Source organism: Homo sapiens, chromosome 16, assembly GCF_000001405.40.
Source record: "Homo sapiens chromosome 16, GRCh38.p14 Primary Assembly".
Taxonomy (NCBI): domain Eukaryota; kingdom Metazoa; phylum Chordata; class Mammalia; order Primates; family Hominidae; genus Homo; species Homo sapiens.
Genome location: NC_000016.10, coordinates 81,579,925 through 81,601,791, shown reverse-complemented (window position 1 = coordinate 81,601,791; position 21,867 = coordinate 81,579,925). Strand labels below are relative to the sequence as shown.

The following is a 21,867-nucleotide window of genomic DNA, read 5'->3' as shown; positions in this document are numbered from 1 at the left end:
AGGGTATTGGAGATGCGGCAGCCCACAAGCTGGGGTTCTGGCCCCGGGGGACGCTGCCTTCCATGGGAGCTGGAGAATGGGTCGGTGAACTCTGCCTTTGTCTTTTTGCTCTCGGGGACAGATATGGAGCTAGTTTTGGGGGATCCTGCATTTGCCAGACCAGGAAGAGATACTTCACCTCTGCCTGTTTCCAGGTGAGCCCCCTGTCCAGTGGCACACAATGCTGGATCTGGGCTGGAAAAAATAGGGCCTAGAAGGACCTCATGAGGGTCCCATGTGAACCCCCAGAGATCTTCAGAACTGGCATTCCAAACCAGATATGGCCTCAGACCTGCTTCCAGAGTGGGTGGGGAATGGGGTGAGCTGACCCCCCCAGAAAGAGCCCCCATTGGGCCCCCGATGCTGGCAGAAGACACCTAGCCTTCGCCTTCCCTTGCCTTTGTGGTGAGCCAGCTCCCTCCTGCCCAAACCTGCCTGCTGGTTTCCATGGGGATTCCTCTCAAAGTGAATACGAATCATGACGTCCAGGCTGACTCAAAACATGTGCCAGGGAAGGGAGGAGCTCCCGGACCCCAAAAGAAGCCAGTCTGGAAAATCCTCCCATGAGCTTATTCCCGAGGCCAGAGAAACCTTGCCCAGTCGGGGATGGGGTTGAAAACAGCAGCTGTTTGTCATGGGGCATGTGTGGCCCTGACAGCTGGGTGGATGTGCTGGGCTGGAGTCAAGTCCCCTCTCTCCCTACGTGGAAGCGGCTTGAATTATCACACAGGGGACACCCATGCTGCACAGTCGGGTTCCACGTGGCACCACCCCACTGTAAGGAAGGATTTGCTGGACCTGCACACACACCCTGGGGCCCCAAAGGAGAAACGAGAAGTTGGATGGCAGCCCTGCTTAGACAGTCAACAGCAACAACACCAACAACACTAATGATGAGGCTGCCATCACAGTGTCATACGCAGTGGTGCTCAAAGTGGCTTGCGCTGGGAGAATGGGCTTCAGTCCCCACCTCCCCTGGCTGCATTTCTAAAATTCAAAGTAAAATTCACAGAACGTAAAACTAACCATTAATCACTTAAGATGTACAATTCACGGGCATTGAGTCCATTCCTGATGCTGTGTCACCATCATCTCTATCGAGTTCTGAGATGTTTTTACTCCCAAAGGAAGCCCCATACCATTAAGTCGTCACTCCCTGCTACCCCATCCCCAGGCGCCAGGCAGCCACTAGCCTGGTATCTATCAATGGGACTTGCCTGTTCTGGACATGTCACATAAATGACATCACATACTTTGTGGCTGTTTGTGCCTGGCTCCTTTCACTTACTGTTTTTGAGGTTTATCTGTGCTATGGCATGAGTCGGAACCGCATTCCTTTCATGGCTGACTGACATTCCATTGTATGGGCAGGCCACATGTTTATACATTCATCTGCTGATGGACACATGGATTGTCTCTATCTTTTGACTATAGTGAAGAGCCAGCTTTATATATCTTTTTTTTTTTTTTTTTTTTTCAGATGGAGTCTCACTCTGTCGCCTAGGCTGGAGTGCAGTGGTGCGATCTTGGCTCACTGCAACCTCCGCCTCCCGTCAAGTGATTCTCCTGCCTCAGCCTCCTGAGTAGCTGGGATTACAGTCACCCACCACCACTCCTGGCTAATTTTTGTAATTTTAGTAGAGACAGGGTTTCACCATGTTGGTCAGGATGCTCTTGAACTCCTGACCTTGTGATCCACCCACCTCTGCCTCCCAAAGTGCTGGGATTACAGGCGTGAGCCACCACTGCTGCCATATATCTTTTTTTAATGATGACAGAAGGAAGGACACCTGCTATGCAGACGCTAGCCTCACTACACCCCACCCATATGGACATTCACAGGTGCCCGTGGTTAACATTCATCAAGCAGTTACCATGTGGCCAGCACCATGCTAAGAGCTTTATATATAATCCCTCATTTAACTTGACAACAATGCTAAGGCGGGGAGGCTGTTTTTATCCCTGTTATCCACATGCTACAGAGGAAGAAACTGAGGCACAGAGCAGGGGATGTCTCACACAGGCCTCCTGCTCTTATAAGACAGGCCCAGGATTCAATTTCGTAACCCCCCAAGACAGCAACTTCCATCCCTCTGTTATGCCAAATTCCTCTGGCCAGAGGCAAACTCCAATTTGTGTACCTTTGTGCTCACACACCTCAAGTACATATTATGAGAAAGGAGCTGGGACCACAGCCAAAGCCACAGCTGGAACCAGCATGGCAGGGGCCTCAGGTCCACCCTTCTGTTGCTACCCCACGCAGCAGGTCCTCAGACACCTATAGATCAGCTTGGCCTCCAAGGCAGAAACCCATGGATGCTCATTTGGGGAAGGCCCGTCAAAATATTTCATGTTCTTTTTAATCTCACAAACGGAAAGTCATACAGCAAACGCAAAGTGGCAGGTAACGATATGATCCTAGAAGGGCCGGTTTGGGCCTTGGTCCCAGAAGAAATCTCAAATGCCGTTCACACTCTCCCTCCCCTGGTTTCCCTCAGGTAATATGACCTCTCCTTGCCCCGGGGCTGTTGTTATTATTACTGTGATCCACTGGTGAGCTGGGCTGCAACCCAGCTGTGCCCTTGGTGTTGTGGGCACAGGGGAGCTGCCTGCACCTTTCTCAATGGCTGCAGAGTTGGGGTGACTGTGTCTATTTTGTATGGTTTCTCCAACCATTCTCCAGACGCCGACTGACCAGTTCTTTTTGCTGACACTTGACACTGCACCTTCCCCCATGCCAGGCCCTCAAAAGGTTACTACTCTTTTTTTTTTTTTTTTTTTTTTGAGACAGAGTCTTGCTCTGTCACTCAGGCTGGAGTACACTGGCATGATCTTGGCCCACTGCAACCCCCGCCTCCCGGCTTCAAGCGATTCTCCTGCCTCAGCCTCCCAAGTAGCTGGGATTATAGGCACACAACACCACGCCCAGATAATTTTTGTTATTTTTTAGTAGACATGGGGTTTCACCATGTTGGCCAGGCTGGTCTCAAACGCCTGACCTCAGGTGATCCGCATGCATCAGTCTCTCAAAGTGCTGGGATTACAGGTGTGAGCCACCATGCCCAGCCGAACGTTACTGCTCTTCTGTTGTGGCCTGTGAAACCAGGGCATGCAGTCTGTTAGAACCATGTGTAAAGTAAAAGTAATGAGGCTTTGAGCAAGAAAATCTCATGGGAGAAAAATACATCCCTCTTGTGTTTTATTTGATCTTACTTTCTTGGTGATAGCTCTAAAGTTCTTTGTAGCCTAAATGAGTTGATACTGGCACTGCCCTACAGGATCGTCTGTGATGATGCAAACGCTCCGTATCTGCACTGGCCAATGCTGTAGCCACCTGTGGGCCACTGAGCACCTGAAATATGGCCAGTGTGGTGGAGGAACCAAATTACACATTTTGTTTAATTTTTGTTAATTTGACTGTAAAGAGCCAGATGTGGCCAGGCGCCGCCCTGTTGGTCAGCTCTGTTGTAGGCGATACCCTCCTGTTGGTCAGCTCTGTTGTAGACGATACCCCCGTTGGTCAGCTCTGTTGTAGGCGATACCCTCCTGTTGGTCAGCTCTGTTGTAGGCGATACCCTCCACTTCTCTAGCGTGTGCCAGTTTCCAAAACACCTTCTTCCCGAGCACATTCATCCTCCCAGCCAGCCTTGTGGTCAGGATTAGTACTTTTAAAAACCACACAGATGAGGAAACCGAGACTCAGAACTACAGGGGAACAGTTATGTCCTGATCCTCCAGTCCCCTCCCTGGATAAGAGCTGTCACCTAAGGACTGAATTCATGAAGTCATTCAACAAGCAGAGGCCTCCTAGGTGCAACCCTATGCCCAGACCTGGGGATAGGCCAGTGATGGAGAGGGACACGGCTCTGCCATCACAGAGCCATCAAGCTGGGGGGGAGACAGATGATCCCTGAAGATGGCTGGTGAGAGGAACAGAAATCTGTGTCCTTGAGTGTGGCACTTTTCATATGTGCCACTGGGCATCTTTGACAGTTGAGTGTCCAACAAGACTCAGAGGAACCCCAAAAGGAAGCTGAATGGGGGAACTGGCCCAAGCCCCTGCTGGAGCCCCACGGAGTTGGTGGAGGGCCTGGGTGCAGGTGTCCCGCCCCCTGCTCTAGTCCCAGGACCTTCCAGGCTGGGAGACTCCCCCCCCCCCGCTCCCCTCGCTCACCTCCCACATCTCCAGGGCTCTTCCCACCTCCACAAGCCCTTAATCCCACAATCCTGCAAGAGGAAGGTATTGCATCACTCTCATGACAGACCAGAAATGAACACTCTGAGCAGGTGCACAACTTGACCAACCGCACACAGCTATTCAGGAGAGAGCTGGGAAGAAAACCAAGACCTTTGGACTTCACGCCCTGGCCTTTGTCTACAGGCAACTAGTAAGTTAAAGACCAGAGGGGTTACCAGAGTATGAGACCATCATACCAGCAGACTGGCTCAAATGGAAAAGATGAAAAATGATAAGTGTTGGCACAGACACAGTGCAAACAGAATCCTAAATTGCTGGAGGGAGTTAAACTGTGAATCCACCTTGTGACAGCTCTGCTGAAGCTGAACATGAGTCCCCTAGAACCCAGCAATCCCCTTCCTCCACAGAAAGGCCCATATTTGTGCTCCCAAAGATGTTTGCACAAGTGTTCCCTGAGCATTAGGTAGCCCAAACTAGAAACTACCCAAATGACCATCAAGAGAAGAATGAATAAAGAAATCCTGGTATATCCACTCAGCAGAAGCCTAAATGATGAGAATGTATGGTCTACAACTATGCACAACACATAGATGACCTACACAAACTGAGCATGGAGCAAAAGCAACTGGACAGAAGCATGTCATCAATGTACATCACCATGTGCTTCCACCCATACAAACTTCAGAAAGAGGTGCACCTGAGTCTGTGCTGTGGGAAGTCAGGGTACTGGTTATTGGGGTGACCAATTGTCTGGTATGCCTAGGACTAAAGGGTTTCTTGGGATGTTGAATGGTCACTACTCTATTGGGAAAATCCTGGGAAAACCAGGACATGGTGTTGATCCTACTGGTTACCCCATGGAGGGATGGCGCTGGAAAAAGGCAAATAGGAGCTTCTGGGGAGGGCTGGCAGCATTCTAGGTCTGGATTCTGGCTGTTGGTGATACAGGGTGTTCACTTTGTTAAAGTTCATCAAGCAGTATACAATGTGTGTACTCTTTTGTGTGTATGCAATGTTCCAATTGAAATTTTTTTTTTTTTTTTTTTTTGAGACAGGGCCTTTCTCTGTTGCCCAGGCTGGAATGCAATGGCACGATCCTGGCTCACTGCAACCTCTGCCTCCTTGGCTTCAAGCGATTCTCTTCCCTCAGCCTCCCGAGTAGCAGGGACTATAGGCGTGCCCCACCACAGACAGCTAATTTCTGTACTTTTAGTAGAGATGGGGTTTCATCATGTTGGCCAGGCTGGTCTTGAACTCCTGACCTCAAGTGATCTGCCCACCTTGGCTTCCCAAAGTGCTGGGATTACAGGCGTGAGCCACCATGCCTGGCCGAAAGATTTTTTAAAAAAATAAATCAGATTTTCTAGAGCTGAATCCAAACTCCACAACTTGGCCTTAGGCAAGTCGCTTGGTATCTCTGAGCCTCCACTTTCTCCCTGGTAAAAGTGAGATTATACTCATACCCACTAGGATGGATAGAGAAAAACCAAATAAATAAAAGAACGTAGACAAAAAAAAAGTGTTGAGGGAGAGGTGGAGAAAGTGAAACCTGCTTACACCACTAGTGTGAATGTAAAATGATGCAGGCAGCTTTTTGTAAAATAGTTTGGTAGTTCTTCGAAAAGTTAAGTATGACCCAGTAATTCCACTCCTAGATATACATCTAAGAGTTGTGAAAACATAGGTTCACACAAAAACATGCACACAAGTATTCAAAGCAAAATGACTCATAAGAACCAAAACATGGAAACAGTATCCATCAACAGATGATGGATAAACAAAATGTTGTCTATCCATTCAATGGAGTATTATGCAGCGATAAAAAAAAGACATTACCACATGGATGAACCTTGAAAGTATTATGCGGGCTAGGCGTGGTGGCTCATGCCTGTAATCCTGGCACTTTGGGAAGCCGAGGTGGGCAGATCACTTGAGGTCAGGAGTTTGAGACCAGCCTGGCCAACATGGTGAAACCGTGCCTCCACTAAAAACACAAAAATAAGCCAGGCATGGTGGCATCCACCTGTAGTCCCAGCTACTCAAGAGGCTGAGGTGGGAGAACTGCTTGAACAGGGCAGGCAGAAGCTGCAGTGAGCTCAGATTGTGTCACTGCACTACAGCCTGGGCAACAGAGCAAGACTCTGTCTCAGAAAAAAAAAAAAAAAAAGAAAGAAGGAAAGAAAGTATTACACAAAGCAAAAGAAGCCACACAAAAGACCACACATTGTATGATTCCAATTATGTAAGATGTCCAGAATAGGCAAATCCATAGAGACAGACAGTGGGTTCATGGTTTCCAGGGCAGGGACGGGGAAATGGGGTATGATACTAATGGGTATGGGGTTTCATTTTGGGGGATGAAAATGTTCTAGAATTAGTAGTGATTGTTGTACAACCTGGTGAATCCAGCAGTCCTCCCTAATCTGAGATTTCACTTTCAGAGGTTTCAGTTACCAGTGGTCAACTATGGTCTGAAAATATTAAGCTGTCTTGAGAGAGAGAGAGAGAGAGAGAGAGAGACCACATGATATTACCTTTATTGTAGTATATTGTTCTATTTTTTAAATTGCTGCTGTTAATCTCTTATGGTATCTAATTCATAAATTAAACTTTATCATAGGTATGGCCGGGCGCGGTGGCTCACACCTGTAATCCCCAGCACTTTGGGAGGCCGAGGCGGGCGGATCATGAGGTCAGGAGATTGAGACCATTCTGGCTAACATGCTAAAACCCCGTCTCTACTCAAAATACAAAAAAAAAAAAAAAAAAAAAAATTAGCTGGGCGTGGTGACAGGCGCCTGTAGTCCCAACTACTTGGGAGGCTGAGGCAGGAGAATGGCATGAACCCGGGAGGCAGAGCTTGCAGTGAGCCGAGATCGCATCACTGCACTCCAGCCTGGGGAACAGAGCGAGACTCCGTCTCAAAAACAAAAACAAAAACAAAAACTTTATCATAGGTATATATATGTTTAGGAAAAAACACAGTGTATATAGGATTTAGTACTATTCGAGGTCTCAGGCATCCACTGGGGGCCTTGGAACATATCCCCCATGGGAAAGGGGGGACTGCTGTACGGTGAAATCAACCCAACTGTACACTTTGAATTAGATTACAACTAAGAAAAAGGTAATGCTGGCCAGGCGCGGTGGCTCACACCTGTCAGCCCAGCACTTTGGGAGGCTGAGGCTGGTGGATGGCTCTGAGCTCTTAAGTTCAAGACCAGCCTGGACAACATGGCGAAACTCCGTCTCTACAAAAAAATACAACAATTAGCCAGGCATGGTGGTGGGTGCCTGTAGTCCCAGCTACTTGGGAGGCTGAGGTGGGAGGATCACTTGAACCCAGGAGTTGGAGGTTGCACTGAGCCGATATTGCACCAGTGCGCTCCAGCCCATGCAACAGAGCCAGATCTTGTCTCAAAAAAGGGAGGAGGGGGGAGAATGGGGAGGAGGGGGAGGAAGAGGAGGAGGAGCGGGGGAAGAGGGGGAGGGGGAAGAGGAGGAGGAGAAGGAGGGGGAGGAGGAGGAGAAGGGGGGGAGGAAGAGGAGGAAAGAGGGGGAGGAGGGGGAGGAGGAGCAGGAGGAGGAAAGGTATGGTAGGGGGAAGGTAAGGGTAGAGGGAAGAGGGAAGGGAAGGAATACTGTACCTGCCTTAAGGGTGTTTGCAGAGAGCACCTGAATGGGCCAGGGCATGTGGCGTGCTCAGCACAGGTGAGCATCTGATACAGGTAACTATGATTATGCTGCCCCCTCCCCCAGACTCCTCAAGAGGGTGCTAGGGAGGGAGTGTAGCTGTGAGAAAGCAGATGGGAGAGGCTACAGGCAGGCACCGGGTGAGGCGAGGATCCATTTGTGCCAGCGGCCAATGAGCTCAATGCCCAGACGCGCCAGGTGGTCGGCGGGCACTCAATACACGGAGGCGATTACTTTCAAGCCTCAACAAGAAAAAAGAGCTTTGCTGAAATGCTTGCCAAGCTCCTCCATCATCCACGGATTACTCCGAAAAGAGCGGAGAGGAAAGCTCCGGCTTGGAGTCGGCCTGGTGCATGGGGTGACCGACCAGCTCCACATGATGGATGGCAAGCAGGTCGCACAGCTCTTGATGGCCTGGGGTCAGAGACCCGATGGCACCTGCGCATCACAGGGCTGCAGAGCAGAAACTCCCCCCGCCCTCCAACCCCCCAGGCTAGGCACAACACCACCTCTCGCCAATCTCAACCAAGCCTACAATACCCAACTCTCCTTGGGGACCCAGGAGGGGTCATGGGTTCATCAAGACGACAGAAAGACCCTCCAGGCACCCTTCTCTGCTGCCCAGACCTCAGCAGCACAGCCTGCAGCTGGGCTGGGAGGGCAGAGCTGGTGCCTGGGGCTCTGTGGAGACGGTCAAGAGGCAGGACGTGGGCTCATTAATCACGAAACCAGCTATGGCAGCCACCCCCTTTTATGGCCACATGGCTCAAGGTTTAATAATAGAGCAAACGACTGATATTTCCACATTCAAACCCCTCCAGCCCCAGTCATCTTCGTGGGCATGAGAAGAGGGATGAAAATCTGGGTCCCCAGGGTGCAGCCCTTGGCATCTGTGCCACTGGGCACCTTTGCCATTGGAACAGGTGATGGACACAAAGATGCCCTAAAGTCAGCATCATTTCCAACTGCCAAGTCACATGCATTTGGAAGGCCCACAGCAGCCAGCCTGGACTGGGCACATGCCACATGCCAGGTCCTCACCAAAGCAGCCTCCAGGGACCATCTTCATCTCATGGATACTTCCCAAGGATCCTGGGAAAGGGGCACTGCTAAGACTCCCCAGTTCCATGGAGGAGAAAAGGAGGTTCGGGTCCATCAAGCAGTGGGCCTCGGTCACAGCCGCTCAGTGGAACGGCCACATGGAAGCCAGGACTGTTGTTTTGAGTCCTGCCTTGCTTCTACCAGACACTGGCCTGGGAGCCCCAGGATGAGCAGGGTGAGCGGAGGGTGCAAAGTAATGGGGAGTGCAAAGTAACAACACCACAGTGCCAAAGGCACCGCAGGAGGAAGGAGGAGGGTCCGGTACAAAGGGCAAGGACAGGAGGGAGGGGCACCCTGGAACACGGGGAGGGCTGCCCAGAGGTGGCCTTTGAGCCGGCTGTCAAGGTAAGGAGGGGAGCGCCAGGCATTCTCCGCCAAGGAAACAGCACAAGGAGCCAGAGTTTGTGCGACCCTGGTCTGGAATGAGAAGTTGTCAGAGGAGGCTTGGGTACAAGGATGTCTCAGGCAGGGGCCTGAGACAGGACACAGACCAGGAGATAGCCCTCGACTGCCCAAGCTTCTCCCATTTCTGAATCCTCTCTCTTATTCTTTCTCTCTTTCCATTCCTTTCTTTTATAAAAAATTAAGATGTAAACAGTAAGGTGCATAAAAAAGTAAAATATAAACAGTAAACTGCAGCCAGGCGCAGTGGCTCATGCCTGTAATCCCGGCACTTTGGGAGGCCAAGGCAGGAGGATCACTTGAGCCCAGGAGTTTGAGACCAGCCAGGGCAACATAGCAAAACCCTGTCTCTACTAAAAACACAAAAACTAGCCATGTGTGGTGGCAGGCGCCTGTAATCCCAGCTACCTGGGAGGCTGAGGCAGGAGGATACTTGAGCCTGGGAGGTGGAGGGTGCAGTGAGCCAAGATCACGTCACTACACTCTAGCCTAGGTGACAGCACGAGACCCTGTCTCAAAAAAAAAAAAGAAAGAAAGAAAGAAAGAAAACCAGTAAACTGCATAACAAGCAGAAGGGCAGAAATCTTCAGTGGGTTCATTCTGACAATGCACACCCCTGTGCACCTGCCAGCCAGGCCAAGATGGGGAGCATCTCCATGCCCTGGGGGCTCCCCTGCTCCCCTTCCCAGCCCAGAAGGTCCGGAGTGTTGACCTCCATCTCTACAGATTAGCTCTGCCTGTTCCTCAACATGTTATAAATGCAATCACACAGCAGATGCACATTTGTGTCTGGCTTGTTTTGGCCAGTATGATGTCTGAGAGCTTCATCCATGTGGCTGTGTGCACCTGCAGCTCATTTGTCTTTGAATCGCTAAGTAGTGCTCCTCCCCCAGATGCCAGTATGGAAAGAAGGGCACTCTGCCTCTGGGTTCTCACAAGCCCGGGACACGCCTCAACCCCAGTACCTTCTGTGCACTGTCTCCAGCTGTTTGTGTTGTGAGTTCCTTAAAATAGCACCTTACATCTCTATCTGGCACCTTAGCTGGTGTCCAGAGTAATGTGACTTGATTAAAGACCTCATGTGTGCCAGATACTGGGTCAACTGCTCAAAGACATCTCCCCACGAATGACCCATGCCAGGGGTACCATTATGATCCCATTTTATAGATGAGAAAACTGAGGCCCACAGAAGAGAAATAACTTTTCTTAAGTGATGCTGCTAGTTATTAATGAAGCCAGGATTTGAATCTGCTATAACTCTAAATCAGAGCTTAGCAAACATTTTCTGTAAAGGGCCAGAGAGAAAATTCTTCAGGCTTTGTGGGCCATATGCCCTGTCTCACAACTGTCAGCAGTGCTGTTGTGGTGTGAAAGCAGCCACAGACAATACACAAATGATCATGGTTGTGTTCCAATAAAACTTTATTTACAAAGACAAGTAGTGGGTCCAACCCTGATCTAAACCATTCAAGAGGAAATAGAAATGTGATGGATGGATGGATGGATGGATGGATGGATGGATGGATGGATGGATGAGAGAAAGTGAGAATATGTTTTCTCTCCTTGCTTTCTTTGCACAGAGAACCAAAAGATGTTTCAGTGGGTGTGTAGGTGAGAGGTTTAGTTTGTTATTTGTTGTTTACGCCAGGACTGGGTCCTACTGAGACATCCTAAGGCCCTCATTTCTGCAATGTCTCTCCTAGGAACTGGCCTTAACCCAATCCCTAAGTTCTATGGAAGCATCAGACAAGTTCTGCAGAAATTTCCCAGAGGACAAATTTGCCGAAAAATTCCTTGGGCCCATCCCTAAAAGAAAGCAGATGGCCCAGAAGCCGGGCGACATGGGTTTTCTCTCCCAGGGACACCCACATCCACTTGGGGAAGCGAGGCTGCTGGACATGATCCAGAAGTGAGCTGCCAGGACCCCGGACAAGGTGACCCACATCTCTCTCTTGTTCCCGAAATCATGGGAATGAGCCAGTGTGACAGAAGCCTCCTTTGGACACCCTCTGACAGTGTCAAGAAAGCTGGGGACAGTGCCTTCCAGCAACACAGCCTTCAAGAGAATACCAGGAAAAGAGGTTGAGACGAAGGAATGGGAGGTAGGGAAGGAATGGGAGGGAGGAAAAGAATGGGAGGGATGTTTTTGTCCGACGAGCAGAGGGAAACGGAGGCTCAGAGGGGCGTGGTCATTCCCAGGGTTCCCCGCCAAGTGTCCAGGCTGGCAGACAGGGCTGCCTCTCTTCCTCCTCTCAGGAGTCCTGCTGGTCTATCCTGAGGCCCTAGTGAGCTTCAGAAGCTCTGTGCCCTGAGGGCAGCCCCTGCAGTCAATCCCTGGGCCTCCAGCCTCCGGACACCTGCTGTCACCCCCTGCCCCATCAATCCATCCCCCACAGGACTCAGAATGTCTTCTCTGAGATCTTGAGGGACCCAGGGCTGACGCCGGCCTATCATTACACACGCCATTGAGGTACACTTTGTCGTTTTACTTATATTTTTCACTAAACAGATTCATTCAGCGCCTTAAGTTTACCCGCTATGTCCATGACAAGTTGAGAGAGGGAGGAAGGGACAGAGAGAAGGCTACTTTTTATGAAGCCTGAGTATGTGTGCTTCTCTGTATGCATTTTATCTGGTTCAACAAAAACTTTTCTTCGAAAATACTACATTGCGCTGAATCGATGGTTATGCATCTATGGACACAGACCATGGCAGGGGCTCAGGGGACTGCTTTGGGATTTTTCTTGCCATGCATGCCTGCATCGTCCCACAGAGAGACCAGAGTGCCCGGCATGGGCCAGGCTGGCTGCCATGGGGTGCGAGACCTGGCCCTGCCCATAAGCACTCGCCATAGGGTGGAAAAAAAAAAAAAAAACACAAGTCTGCATATATGTTTCTACTGTGCTTCTAATATAGGTAGTTACTATTGTCATGAATATAAATTTGTTGAAAAGCAAGACAAGGCCAGGTGTGGTGGCTCATGCCTGTAATCCCATCATTTTGGGAGGCAAAGAAGGATGGATCACTTGACCCCAGGAGTTCGAGACCAGCCAGGGTAACATGGAGAAACCCCGTCTCTACTAAAAACAGAAAAATTACCCGGGTGTGGTGGTGCACGCCTGTAGTCCCAGCTACTTGGGAAGCTGACGCAGGAGAATCGCTTGAATCAAGGAGGCAGTGGTTGCAGTGAGCCGAGATCACGCCACTGCACTGCAGCAGCCTGGACCACAGGGTGACACACTGCCTCAAAAAGAAAAGAAAAACAAAGAAAGAAAAGGAAAAAAAAAAAGCAATACAATATTCTGAGCACCGGAATATGTTTATGGCCTTTCATACATTTTTCTCAAGTTGTAATGGTAAAGAACACAGCTTTGAGAACAGAAAACCTGACTTTATATCTCAGCTCTGCCTCTTACAGGCTGTGAGACTCCCAGCTAGAGAGCCAGTTGGGCTTTATGAACCTCGGTCTCCTCATCTGTGAAATGGGAGTGATAGAGGCCAGGAGACAGGGCCACAGGAAGACGACGGGAGGCCCACGTCTGGCTCATGGTAAGTGCTCAATGAATGTCAGCGTGTACAGCACAGAGGGCCTGCTGTGCCCCACGACTAAACAGCACACCGGCTTTCACAGGGTCTCCTGCATGCTGGGGGAGACAGACAGAAAAGACAAATAAGTGAAATACACAGGATGTTAAGTGATGATAAGCGTAGGTGAAAAGCAAACCAAGCAGATAACAGAGAACGAGGATGTTGGGTTTTGGCAATTACTGAAGCCATGGCCATGTCATTTCAGAAGAAGTAGGTAATGATGTAATTGTCACACCGACAATGCTGGAGAAGCACTGGGGCTACTGCTCAGCGCCTCCCAAGGTACAGCACCCTGCCCGTAAACGAGGTCAATGGACGGTGGCACACCGGGACCACACCTGACAAGCGTGGCTCCAGATTTAAAGAGAAAACTTCTGCCTTCAGAGAATCAACTGGAAGGGACAAGTCTCCCCCAAATCTCTTAAAAAGAGGTTTAATCTGGGACTGGGGAAAAAGAGAGAGAGAAGAAAGGCATCTACTTTGAAAGACAGACTTGGGTACTTTTTCTGGCCAAAAAACAAAAACTATGCAAGCCGTCTTTCCCTTTCTGCTACCTCAACAGAGAGCTCCGAGACGGCCAAACAAAGCTTGGGGTGATCGGCCCAGCCCTGGGGATCCGGAGGGTCTCGTTCTGTTTGATCCTAATTGCCTCCTTCCACACAGTGTCTCAGCTCTGAAAAGCCTCGGTCCTCTTGGAGGCAGGCAGGGTATAATATCAAGACAAATGCAGTAGTTCCTGGGGAAGCAAGAGCCGGCAGCCTTAGACGGTGTGTTTCAAGTGGGAAATCCCTGACCGTTCCTGCCTCAGCGCTGGCCTGGGGGCTGCAGGCTTCCATGGAGGGTTTCCAGGATATGTGACAAGGGAGCTTGACTCATGCACCCGCACACTGGCTGTCCACACACGGACCTGGCCACCTTTCTCCAGGAGGCTGGACAGTCAGGCCCAAAACATCTGAGGCTCTCACCCTCAGGAGGGGATCAACGTGTGCTCTCTAAAATCACCATGAAAAATCTGCTCCCTGAAGTCAGGGGAGGAGGGAGAGACAGGTTTGGTCACTTCAGGAAGTCAGGAGCAGTAGAGGAAAGTTCTGGAAGATGGAGCAGAGACGGCTGAGATTCCCACTCCAGCGCTGTAGCTCACCCATTGGGTGGCCTTTGGCGGCCACTTCATCTCTAGCACCTTTGGTTTTTTCATTGGTAAAATGGGAATGAGAAGAACACCCACCTCAAAGCTTTACCGTGATGGGGATGATGATCTGCGCAATCTGTGCAGCAGCTGGGGAAGCAAGGACTTTGTGGTGGCTCTGGCTGAACAGAGGTGAAACCGGCCCCCCACTGGGTCACAGGCCCCCGAGTACATATGGCACAGACACAGACTGACCGCCTCATCGATTCCACCCACAGCACTCCACCTTTCAAAATTCTGCCTACCAAACATACTCATCATATAATGAGCAGAGGTGGTGTTTCAAATGTTTAATCGCTGGTACAGCCCAGGAATGGGCGGCCCCATCAGAGTGGACCCCAGCTGTAAAGCTGGCTCCAGTGTCCAGTGCGCTCCCCTAGACCCTGCCCCGTGGTAATGAGTCATGCAGGTTCCCTTTCTCCTGTATAAACACCTCTGACTCCCTGCCCTTCTGCATTTCTGTTTCAAATCAATACCAGTTAACTGCTATTAGGGAATCACACTGCACACACTGCATCAAAAACAAAAACCAACCACACAGATTTCATCTCATGTAGCCTGTTCTTTACTTTTCTAAATTGGGAAAACAGCTCATGGGTCCCAACAGACTTAGGTGAATACCTAGAATTCCGGAACACCCCAGATTTGAATCCAGCGAGCTCTCCTCTTTGAGTTCTCTACTTTCTTCTCTCCTTTACCTCACTTTAAGCACCCATGCAAATGCCCCCTCGGTTCATTTGTCTAACATCTGTGTGACATAGTCCAGAACCCCTTCCTTAAGGACTCCACAGTTGAGTGGGGAGTCAGATGTCTACACATTAGTAGAATTCCATGTGTATGTGTGCAGGTGTGGAGGCAGAGGAGCCCGAGGGAAAGTGGGACGAATACTTCAGAGAGTATGCGATGTTTGAGTTGGGCTTTGAAGGATGAATAGGAGTTTATTGGGCAGAGAGAGAGAAGTTGAAGGAGGTGAGTCATAAAAACTGATTAAATCTCGATTACAGAGAGCCTTGCGTGGCAGGCTACAGTGCTTGGAGTTACACCGGATCACTGAGGAATGTGAGGGCTTACTGGGATTTAATTCTCCTAGTACGGGAGACACTAGGTAAATGTATGTGAACAGGCCTTGTGAAGAGGGACTCTTGGGCCCCCAAGGATCACTGTTGCTACTGTCTACAAACAAGTAGGCAGTGAACGACTATCTCTTTCTACTATCGCTGTTTCGATGATAATAGCACCCACAAATTACCACCTCCAATGCAAGAAGAGATGCATCACGCCTCTACTACAGTAAACTGTGTTATCAAAATAGTAGTAAAGTTGCTTTGTCCATTTCACTATCCCATCAATAGGGCCCAAAATCCCATCTCTGAAAGAGCCTGGTAAGTGGGGTCCTGATGACAGAAGGTAGGTGTGGGGCGGGGCTGTCTCTACAAGTAGCTGTTTAGACCCACCCCCACCCCAAATCCTTTCTGGAAAAAAAAAAGATAGGAGCACAAACAGATGACAACATGACCAATCCCTGAAGCTAGAGGGAGCAATGGAGTCCGGCTGTGAGAATGCCATGCGTTTGTTCCCTGGACCACACGTTCACTAACAGGCCTTCCCCGGCAGCGCCCTGGGCACCATGCTCCAGGAGCTCATGGAGAATGGGGGAGGTGATCAGTGCTGGTGAGACAGGTGCTACGACAGGGGCAGCAACTCTTACAGAGCAGTAAAGAGGAAGACAGCCACTAACTCTGCTCACAGCCGAATCTTGAGAAGTGAGGAGGATTTTGCTGGGCCAGGGACATGGAAGGGCATTTGGGGCTGCAGGGTCAGGACAGGTGGGGTTCTTCTCCAGCCCAATCCTCCAGCAGATGCAAAGGAATTTCTAAGGTCCAGGGAAGTGGACTGGCCAAAAGGTACTGTGCCATGCGGTGTCTGCCGTTAAATTTGTACTGACACACGCTACGACATGGATGAACCTTGAAAATGTGATCCTAAATCAAAGAAGCCTGATACAAAGGGTTTCAGAATGGAATTGATCCACGTATATGAAATGTCCAGAATAGGCAAATCCACAGGACAGAAATCAGACGGCTGTCATGGCCTGGCAGGAGGGGAGCAGGGCTGACTGCTGATGGGCACGGGTTTCCTTTTGAGGTGATGAGAATATTGTGGAACTAGATAGAAGTGGTAGTGATTGCACATTATAAATGTACTAAATGCCACCAAATGGTACATTTATTATTATTATTTTTTGAGACAGAGTCTTACTCTTTTGCCCAGGCTGGAGTACAATGGCACAATCTCGGCTCACTGCAACCTCAACTCCTGAGTTCAAACAATTCTCCTGCCTCAGCCTCCTGAGTAGCTGGGATTACAGGTGCCCACCACCATGCCTGGCTAATTTTTGTATTTCTAGTAGAGACAGGGTTTTGCCATATTGGCCAGGCTGGTCTCAAACACCTGAACTCAAGTGATCTGCCCACCTCAGCCTCCCAAAGTGCTGGGATTACAGGCGTGAGCCACCATGCCTGGCCGAACTGTACATTTACATGTGGTTTTTACATTATGTGAATTTCACCTCAATGAAAAAGAAGTTCCACACGAATGCAATGAATTCTAAGAATTTTCCAAACTTACGGGTGATATTAAAATGGCCATTTCAAAGCCTCTGCTCTCCCTTCACAGGGGTCTGAACAGTTGGGGGAGTTGACTCATGGAGGCATCCAGGCCCAGCAGGCTTCATCCACAGCCACATGAACCCCTTCCTTGCAGAAGCGTTCCTTTACTGGACAGAGGGAGAATGAAGTACTAGGGTCTCAGGGGATTCCTCCAGAGGCCAATTCAAGAACAGAAAGTCATTTCCTGGCATCTCACGATGTGTTGATAATTCGGATGATGGACGGCGCCGGGCTAGTTTGATGTTTATTTCCATGAGCTTCAGTCTTCCTAGTTGGATGAACCAAGGCTCCTGTCATTATGTGGGACTGCAGCTGATCTACACGGGCACACTCTTAACAGACCAATGGTTTCAGCCATTCTCACAGACTACTCTGACCACTCGAGGTAAAAACAGGGTCATTCTGACAAAAAGAAGGATGATTTTACACTTACATACATATATACACACATAAAACACATATACAAACATGGCCTTACACTCAGCTTGAAACAAACAACCTAAAAACTGGATTAAGAGTCTCCTTCCTACGCTTCAGACTCACAGTTTATTCATTCATCAAATATTTACGGAGTGCTTGCTGGAGGACATCGAAGTACTTCCAGCATGTTCTAGGTGTTACGGACACATTGTTCAACAAAACAGAAAGAGCTCCTTGCCTCCAAGGAGTTTTCCTTCTAGTAGGGGGCTTACACTCCAGTGATGGCAATGCAAGCTGAACCCACCACCTGGTGCTGGTGGGCGCTAGGGGCCGTCTTCCCAGGCCTGGCTTGTGGCAACCACGCCTACTGCTCGGCCACACTCCAACTCCACTTCTCCCTTGGATTCGGCGCTCCCAGCCCTTGAATCTAGTGAGTCACCAGGGTCAGAGCCAGCTGCTTCTTGCCCTTCAATTCCTCCACACCTTCCCTTGCCCTCTATCCTACCTCTGCCTCCTCTTATTTTTCTTCTGGAATATTCCAAAGGCTTCCAATCTTTATTTCCTGCTTCCAACGATTCCCTCTCTACCCAAAACACTGTCGCCAGAGTTTTCTTCCCAAAACACAACTCAAATGTGTTGTTCCTCTGCTCAGTGACTTTGAATATCCCTGATTTGCCTACAGAGAAAAATCCAGCCCCCTTGGCCTTGTATTCAGTAGCCTCCATAAGGCTTTCAGATGCTCTCGTCTTTCCCAGAAACCACTTGGGAAAGGGGTATCTAGAAGTGCCTCTGCAACGACAGACAGAGGACTTTAGGTCCAAAGGAGAAACAAAGTACCCCCAATAAGCCTCGGTTGGGGCTGACAGTGAGAGGAAACACAGTGAGACAGTGGGTCTTCTCTTGGGACTCAGTCACTCCCTCCACGTCTGTGACCCGGCCGTGAGAAACTCTATTGACAAGTTTCATTGAGTGCTGGTCCCGCTCTCTGCCCAGGGTCAAGTATTCCCAATGACTTATTTTTAAAAAGCAAATTCGGGCACTAACTGAGAAAGAATTCAGATTTAGCCTAGAACAGTTGCTCAACAAGTGACAAGAATAGATCAGTGGCCGATCCCATTCAGGGTTAAAGAACAGAGCCTCCTTTTCTACCATCAGGCCCACAGCTGTATGAGAGGCCCGGAGCCCCGACCCCGGGGGGAAGTGCCGGTGACAGGGTGGGGACATTCGCACAGACATGAGGCCCAGGACTTGCCCAATGCTGTCGCCGTCAATAGGGAGACAAAGGGGCCAGGCAGGCCAGATGTTGGCAGCAACTCCCTTGCAACCCCAGGAACAATTCCTTCTTTCACTGCCTGATCAGACGGCCAAGGTCAGAGGCAATGCCAGCCAGAGCTTACCCTCTGAGTGCCAAGGCCCTTTAGAGAAATTTAAATAATTTTAGATAGAAACACTCCTTCTTTCCTCGCTTTAAGCAGATGGCAGGGAGTAGCCTTTGCCCTTTCTTGCTGATGCAATTGTCCCTTGGAGCATCTGCTACCCCACACTGCCACCGTCAGGAGCTCCTGAAGCAGTGGAGAGCTGCTGGCCCCCGAATGGTGTCCCCCAACTGCCGTGCACTCTTTATCTTCATTTTCTTTCTGTCATTTTCGTTTTACCCCCGCCGACTTTGTGCTGTTGGGCATTCCGCTCGCCGTTCATGAAAGCGTTCCCTCTTGCTTCATCCTGATTTGCTGCTTTTAGTTTCATGGTCTTGGAAACCCAAGCAATACACTAGTCAGGACTGTGCCCTGCATGGGAGCGAGGCCCTGCTGGGAATGCAACCAAAGAGTTAGAGTGTGGCAGCCACCGTGACTTTGGTACACTTCTCTACCTGGATTCTGGGCTGGGTTCGGAGTGTTTGCTGGAAAGTGGTCTCTGAATAAGCAGGGTGTTCCTCCGTTTACCATCAACAAGGTGCACAGATGACTCAAAGCTCAGAGGTCCTTACAACTGAAAACCCAGCCCACTGGACTCCAGGGAGCAATGAAAAACCACTTGCTACCCTTTAGGGGAGGCCTTTGAGGACCCTTCCCAGTCCCCACACATCCCTTCTCAAGCTCAGTCTGATAAGTGGCTTTCAGAAGCACTGCCTTGGCCCTGTCACGCTCAAGGAGACTGGGGACACCCTGGCAAGTTGGCAAAAAAAATATTCCAAGGAGGGGTTCCTGGAGGCACTGGGCTGAACATTTGGGGAAGAGGCTTGACATGGTTTGGGTCTGTGTCCCCACCCCAGACTCATGTTCAATTATAATCCCCAATGTTGGAGAAGGGGCCTGTGGGAGGTGATTGGATCATGGGGGCAGTTTCTCAGGATTTAATACCATCCCTCTTGGTATTGTTGGCGTGATAGTGAGTTCTCATGAGATCTGGTGGTTTAAAGTGTGTGGCACCTCTCCCCGCCAGCTCTCTTCGTCCTGCTCAAGCCATGTGATGTGCTGGCTCCTCCTTTGCCTTCCACCTGAGGCCTCCCCAGAAGCTGATGCTGCCATGCTTTCTGCACAGCCTGCAGAACCGTGAGCCCATTAAACCTCCTTTCTTAAAATTACCCAGTCTCAGGTATTTCTTTAGAGCAAGGTAAGAACTGATTAATACAAGGCCCCTCTGCAGAGAAGGAAAAGAGCAGGGACTAAAGGGTTCTGGGGATCAGGCTCCCTGGGTCCCAACCCCAGCTCTGCCACCCCAGAGCTGTCTGCGTGAGGAAGTGGTTCCCTTGCCCTGTGCCTCGGTTTTCCCTCTGTAGCAACCTCAGGGTGTTATGGTGAGGAATAAGGATAGCACTATTCCTAAAATGCCAAGCTCGGCTATTCCCCTTCTAGGTGAATACCCCAAAGAACTGAAAACATGGACTCAAACAAATACAGCCAAGCACTGCATAACAACGTTCTGGTCACGATGGACCACATTTATGACTGCGGTTCCATAAGATTATGATTCCATATTTTTACTGTGCCTTTTCTATGTTTAGATATGCTTAGACACACAAATACTTACCACTATGTTACAACTGCCACCAGTATTCAGTAGAGTAACCTGTTGTACAGGTTTGTGGCCTAGGAACAATAAGCCGCACCTCACAGCCCAGGTGTGAGGCAGGCTACACCATCGAGGCTTCTGTGAGCACACTCCAGGATGTTCGCTCAGTGACTAAATCACCTAACTACGCGCTTCCCGGAACGTATCCCCATCGTGAAACAATGCATGACTACACTTGTACAAGAATGCTCACGGCCGCTTATTCACGACAGCCAAAAAGGTGAAAACAACACAAACGTCCATCAACAGATGAATGGATAAGAAAGAAAAATGATACATACAGACAATGGAGTATCATTCTGCCATCAAAAGGAAGGCAGTGCTGACACATGCTGCAACACGGAAGAACCCTGACAACATGACGCTGAGGGAAAGAAGCCAGTGGAAAAAGACCATGTACTGTGTGATTGTACTGCTATGAAAAGTCCAGAAGAGGAAAGCCCAAAAAGACAGAAATTGATGGCTGTCAGGGGGCTGGAAGAGAGGGGAATGGGGAATGACTGCTAATGGGCACGAGATTTCGTGCTGGGGTGGAGAAGAGGTTTCGGAATTAGATAGAAGTGGCAGTTACACAACATCGCGAATTTGCTAAAGGCCGCTGAACTATGCTCTTGTTTGTTTGTTTTTGAGACAGAGTCTCGCTCTGTTGCCCAGGCTGGAGTGCAGTGGCATGATTTCGGCTCACTGCAACCAGGAGCAGTGGCTCACGCCTGTAATCCCAGCAGTTTGGGAGGCGAAGACGGGTGGATCACTTGAGGTCAGGAGTTCGAGACCAGCCTGGCCAACATGGCAAAACCCTGTCTCTACTAAAAATGCAAAAATTAGCTGGGTGTGGTGGCAGGCATCTATATAGTCCCAGCTACTTGGGAGGCTGAGGCACAAGAATTGCTTGAACCCAGGATGCAGAGGTTGCAGTGAGCCGAGATCACGCCACTGCACTCCAGCCTGGGTGACAGAGTGAGACTCCATTTCAAAAATAAAAAAATTAAAAAAAGAAAGAAAAGAGAAAGAAAACAAACCCAAAATAAATTAAGTGGGCAATTTCATATGAGGTGAATTTATCTCAATTAGAAAGACAAAAATACCTTAGCTTAGTGCCCAGCGTGTAGCTCACCATGTCACAAACAGGCTCCAGAGCCGGGAGACATAGGGCACCTCGCTTCTCTGATTCTTGTCTGTCCCCTAAAGGGGTCTGATCACGGCCCTGCCCTCAAGGCCCTACATCACAGCTGCTGTAAAGCTGGAGATTAGGAATGGGAGCTGAGGGAGGGTGTCAAGGCAGCTAAGCAGGTTAGGAAACCCCTGCCTCCATCTTAAGGGGAGAATGAACTCTTGGGAGCCCCAAGACACTGGTTCCATTCTACTGGAAATATCCGTTCTTCAGAAAGACAAGTTGAGCCACAGTTATCCTAGCTTCAAACTTTTTAAACCTGTCATATCATTTTTTTTTTAATTTCTTTTTTTGAGACGGAGTCTCGCACTGTCGCCCAGGCGGGCTG

General features: G+C 49.7%; 1 protein-coding gene across 5 annotated transcripts in view, besides 5 other annotated features; it reads right to left on the bottom strand.

Moving 5' to 3' along the window:
* Positions 1 to 21,867, bottom strand: part of CMIP (c-Maf inducing protein) — a 266,955-nt gene that overhangs the window by 109,971 nt on the left and 135,117 nt on the right. The window lies entirely within an intron of this gene.
* Positions 8,022 to 8,869: an enhancer, noted in NCBI's record as "H3K4me1 hESC enhancer chr16:81626528-81627375 (GRCh37/hg19 assembly coordinates)". NCBI's record gives its function as "activates a minimal SCP1, AML or CMV promoter by ChIP-STARR-seq in naive H9 embryonic stem cells {active_cell/tissue: H9 hESC(naive)}" and the evidence as "EXISTENCE:reporter gene assay evidence [ECO:0000049][PMID:30033119]".
* Positions 8,870 to 9,718: an enhancer, noted in NCBI's record as "H3K4me1 hESC enhancer chr16:81625679-81626527 (GRCh37/hg19 assembly coordinates)". NCBI's record gives its function as "activates a minimal SCP1, AML or CMV promoter by ChIP-STARR-seq in primed H9 embryonic stem cells {active_cell/tissue: H9 hESC(primed)}" and the evidence as "EXISTENCE:reporter gene assay evidence [ECO:0000049][PMID:30033119]".
* Positions 9,289 to 9,433: an enhancer, noted in NCBI's record as "145 bp enhancer 117 fragment used in the MPRA reporter construct; PK_construct_2133". NCBI's record gives its function as "activates an SV40 promoter by MPRA in HepG2 cells {active_cell/tissue: HepG2}" and the evidence as "EXISTENCE:reporter gene assay evidence [ECO:0000049][PMID:23512712]".
* Positions 9,354 to 9,367: a transcriptional cis regulatory region, noted in NCBI's record as "HNF4 motif; enhancer activity is reduced when this motif is scrambled". NCBI's record gives its function as "necessary for full MPRA enhancer 117 activity {active_cell/tissue: HepG2}" and the evidence as "EXISTENCE:site-directed mutagenesis evidence [ECO:0005528][PMID:23512712]".
* Positions 18,795 to 19,612: an enhancer, noted in NCBI's record as "H3K27ac-H3K4me1 hESC enhancer chr16:81615785-81616602 (GRCh37/hg19 assembly coordinates)". NCBI's record gives its function as "activates a minimal SCP1, AML or CMV promoter by ChIP-STARR-seq in primed H9 embryonic stem cells {active_cell/tissue: H9 hESC(primed)}" and the evidence as "EXISTENCE:reporter gene assay evidence [ECO:0000049][PMID:30033119]".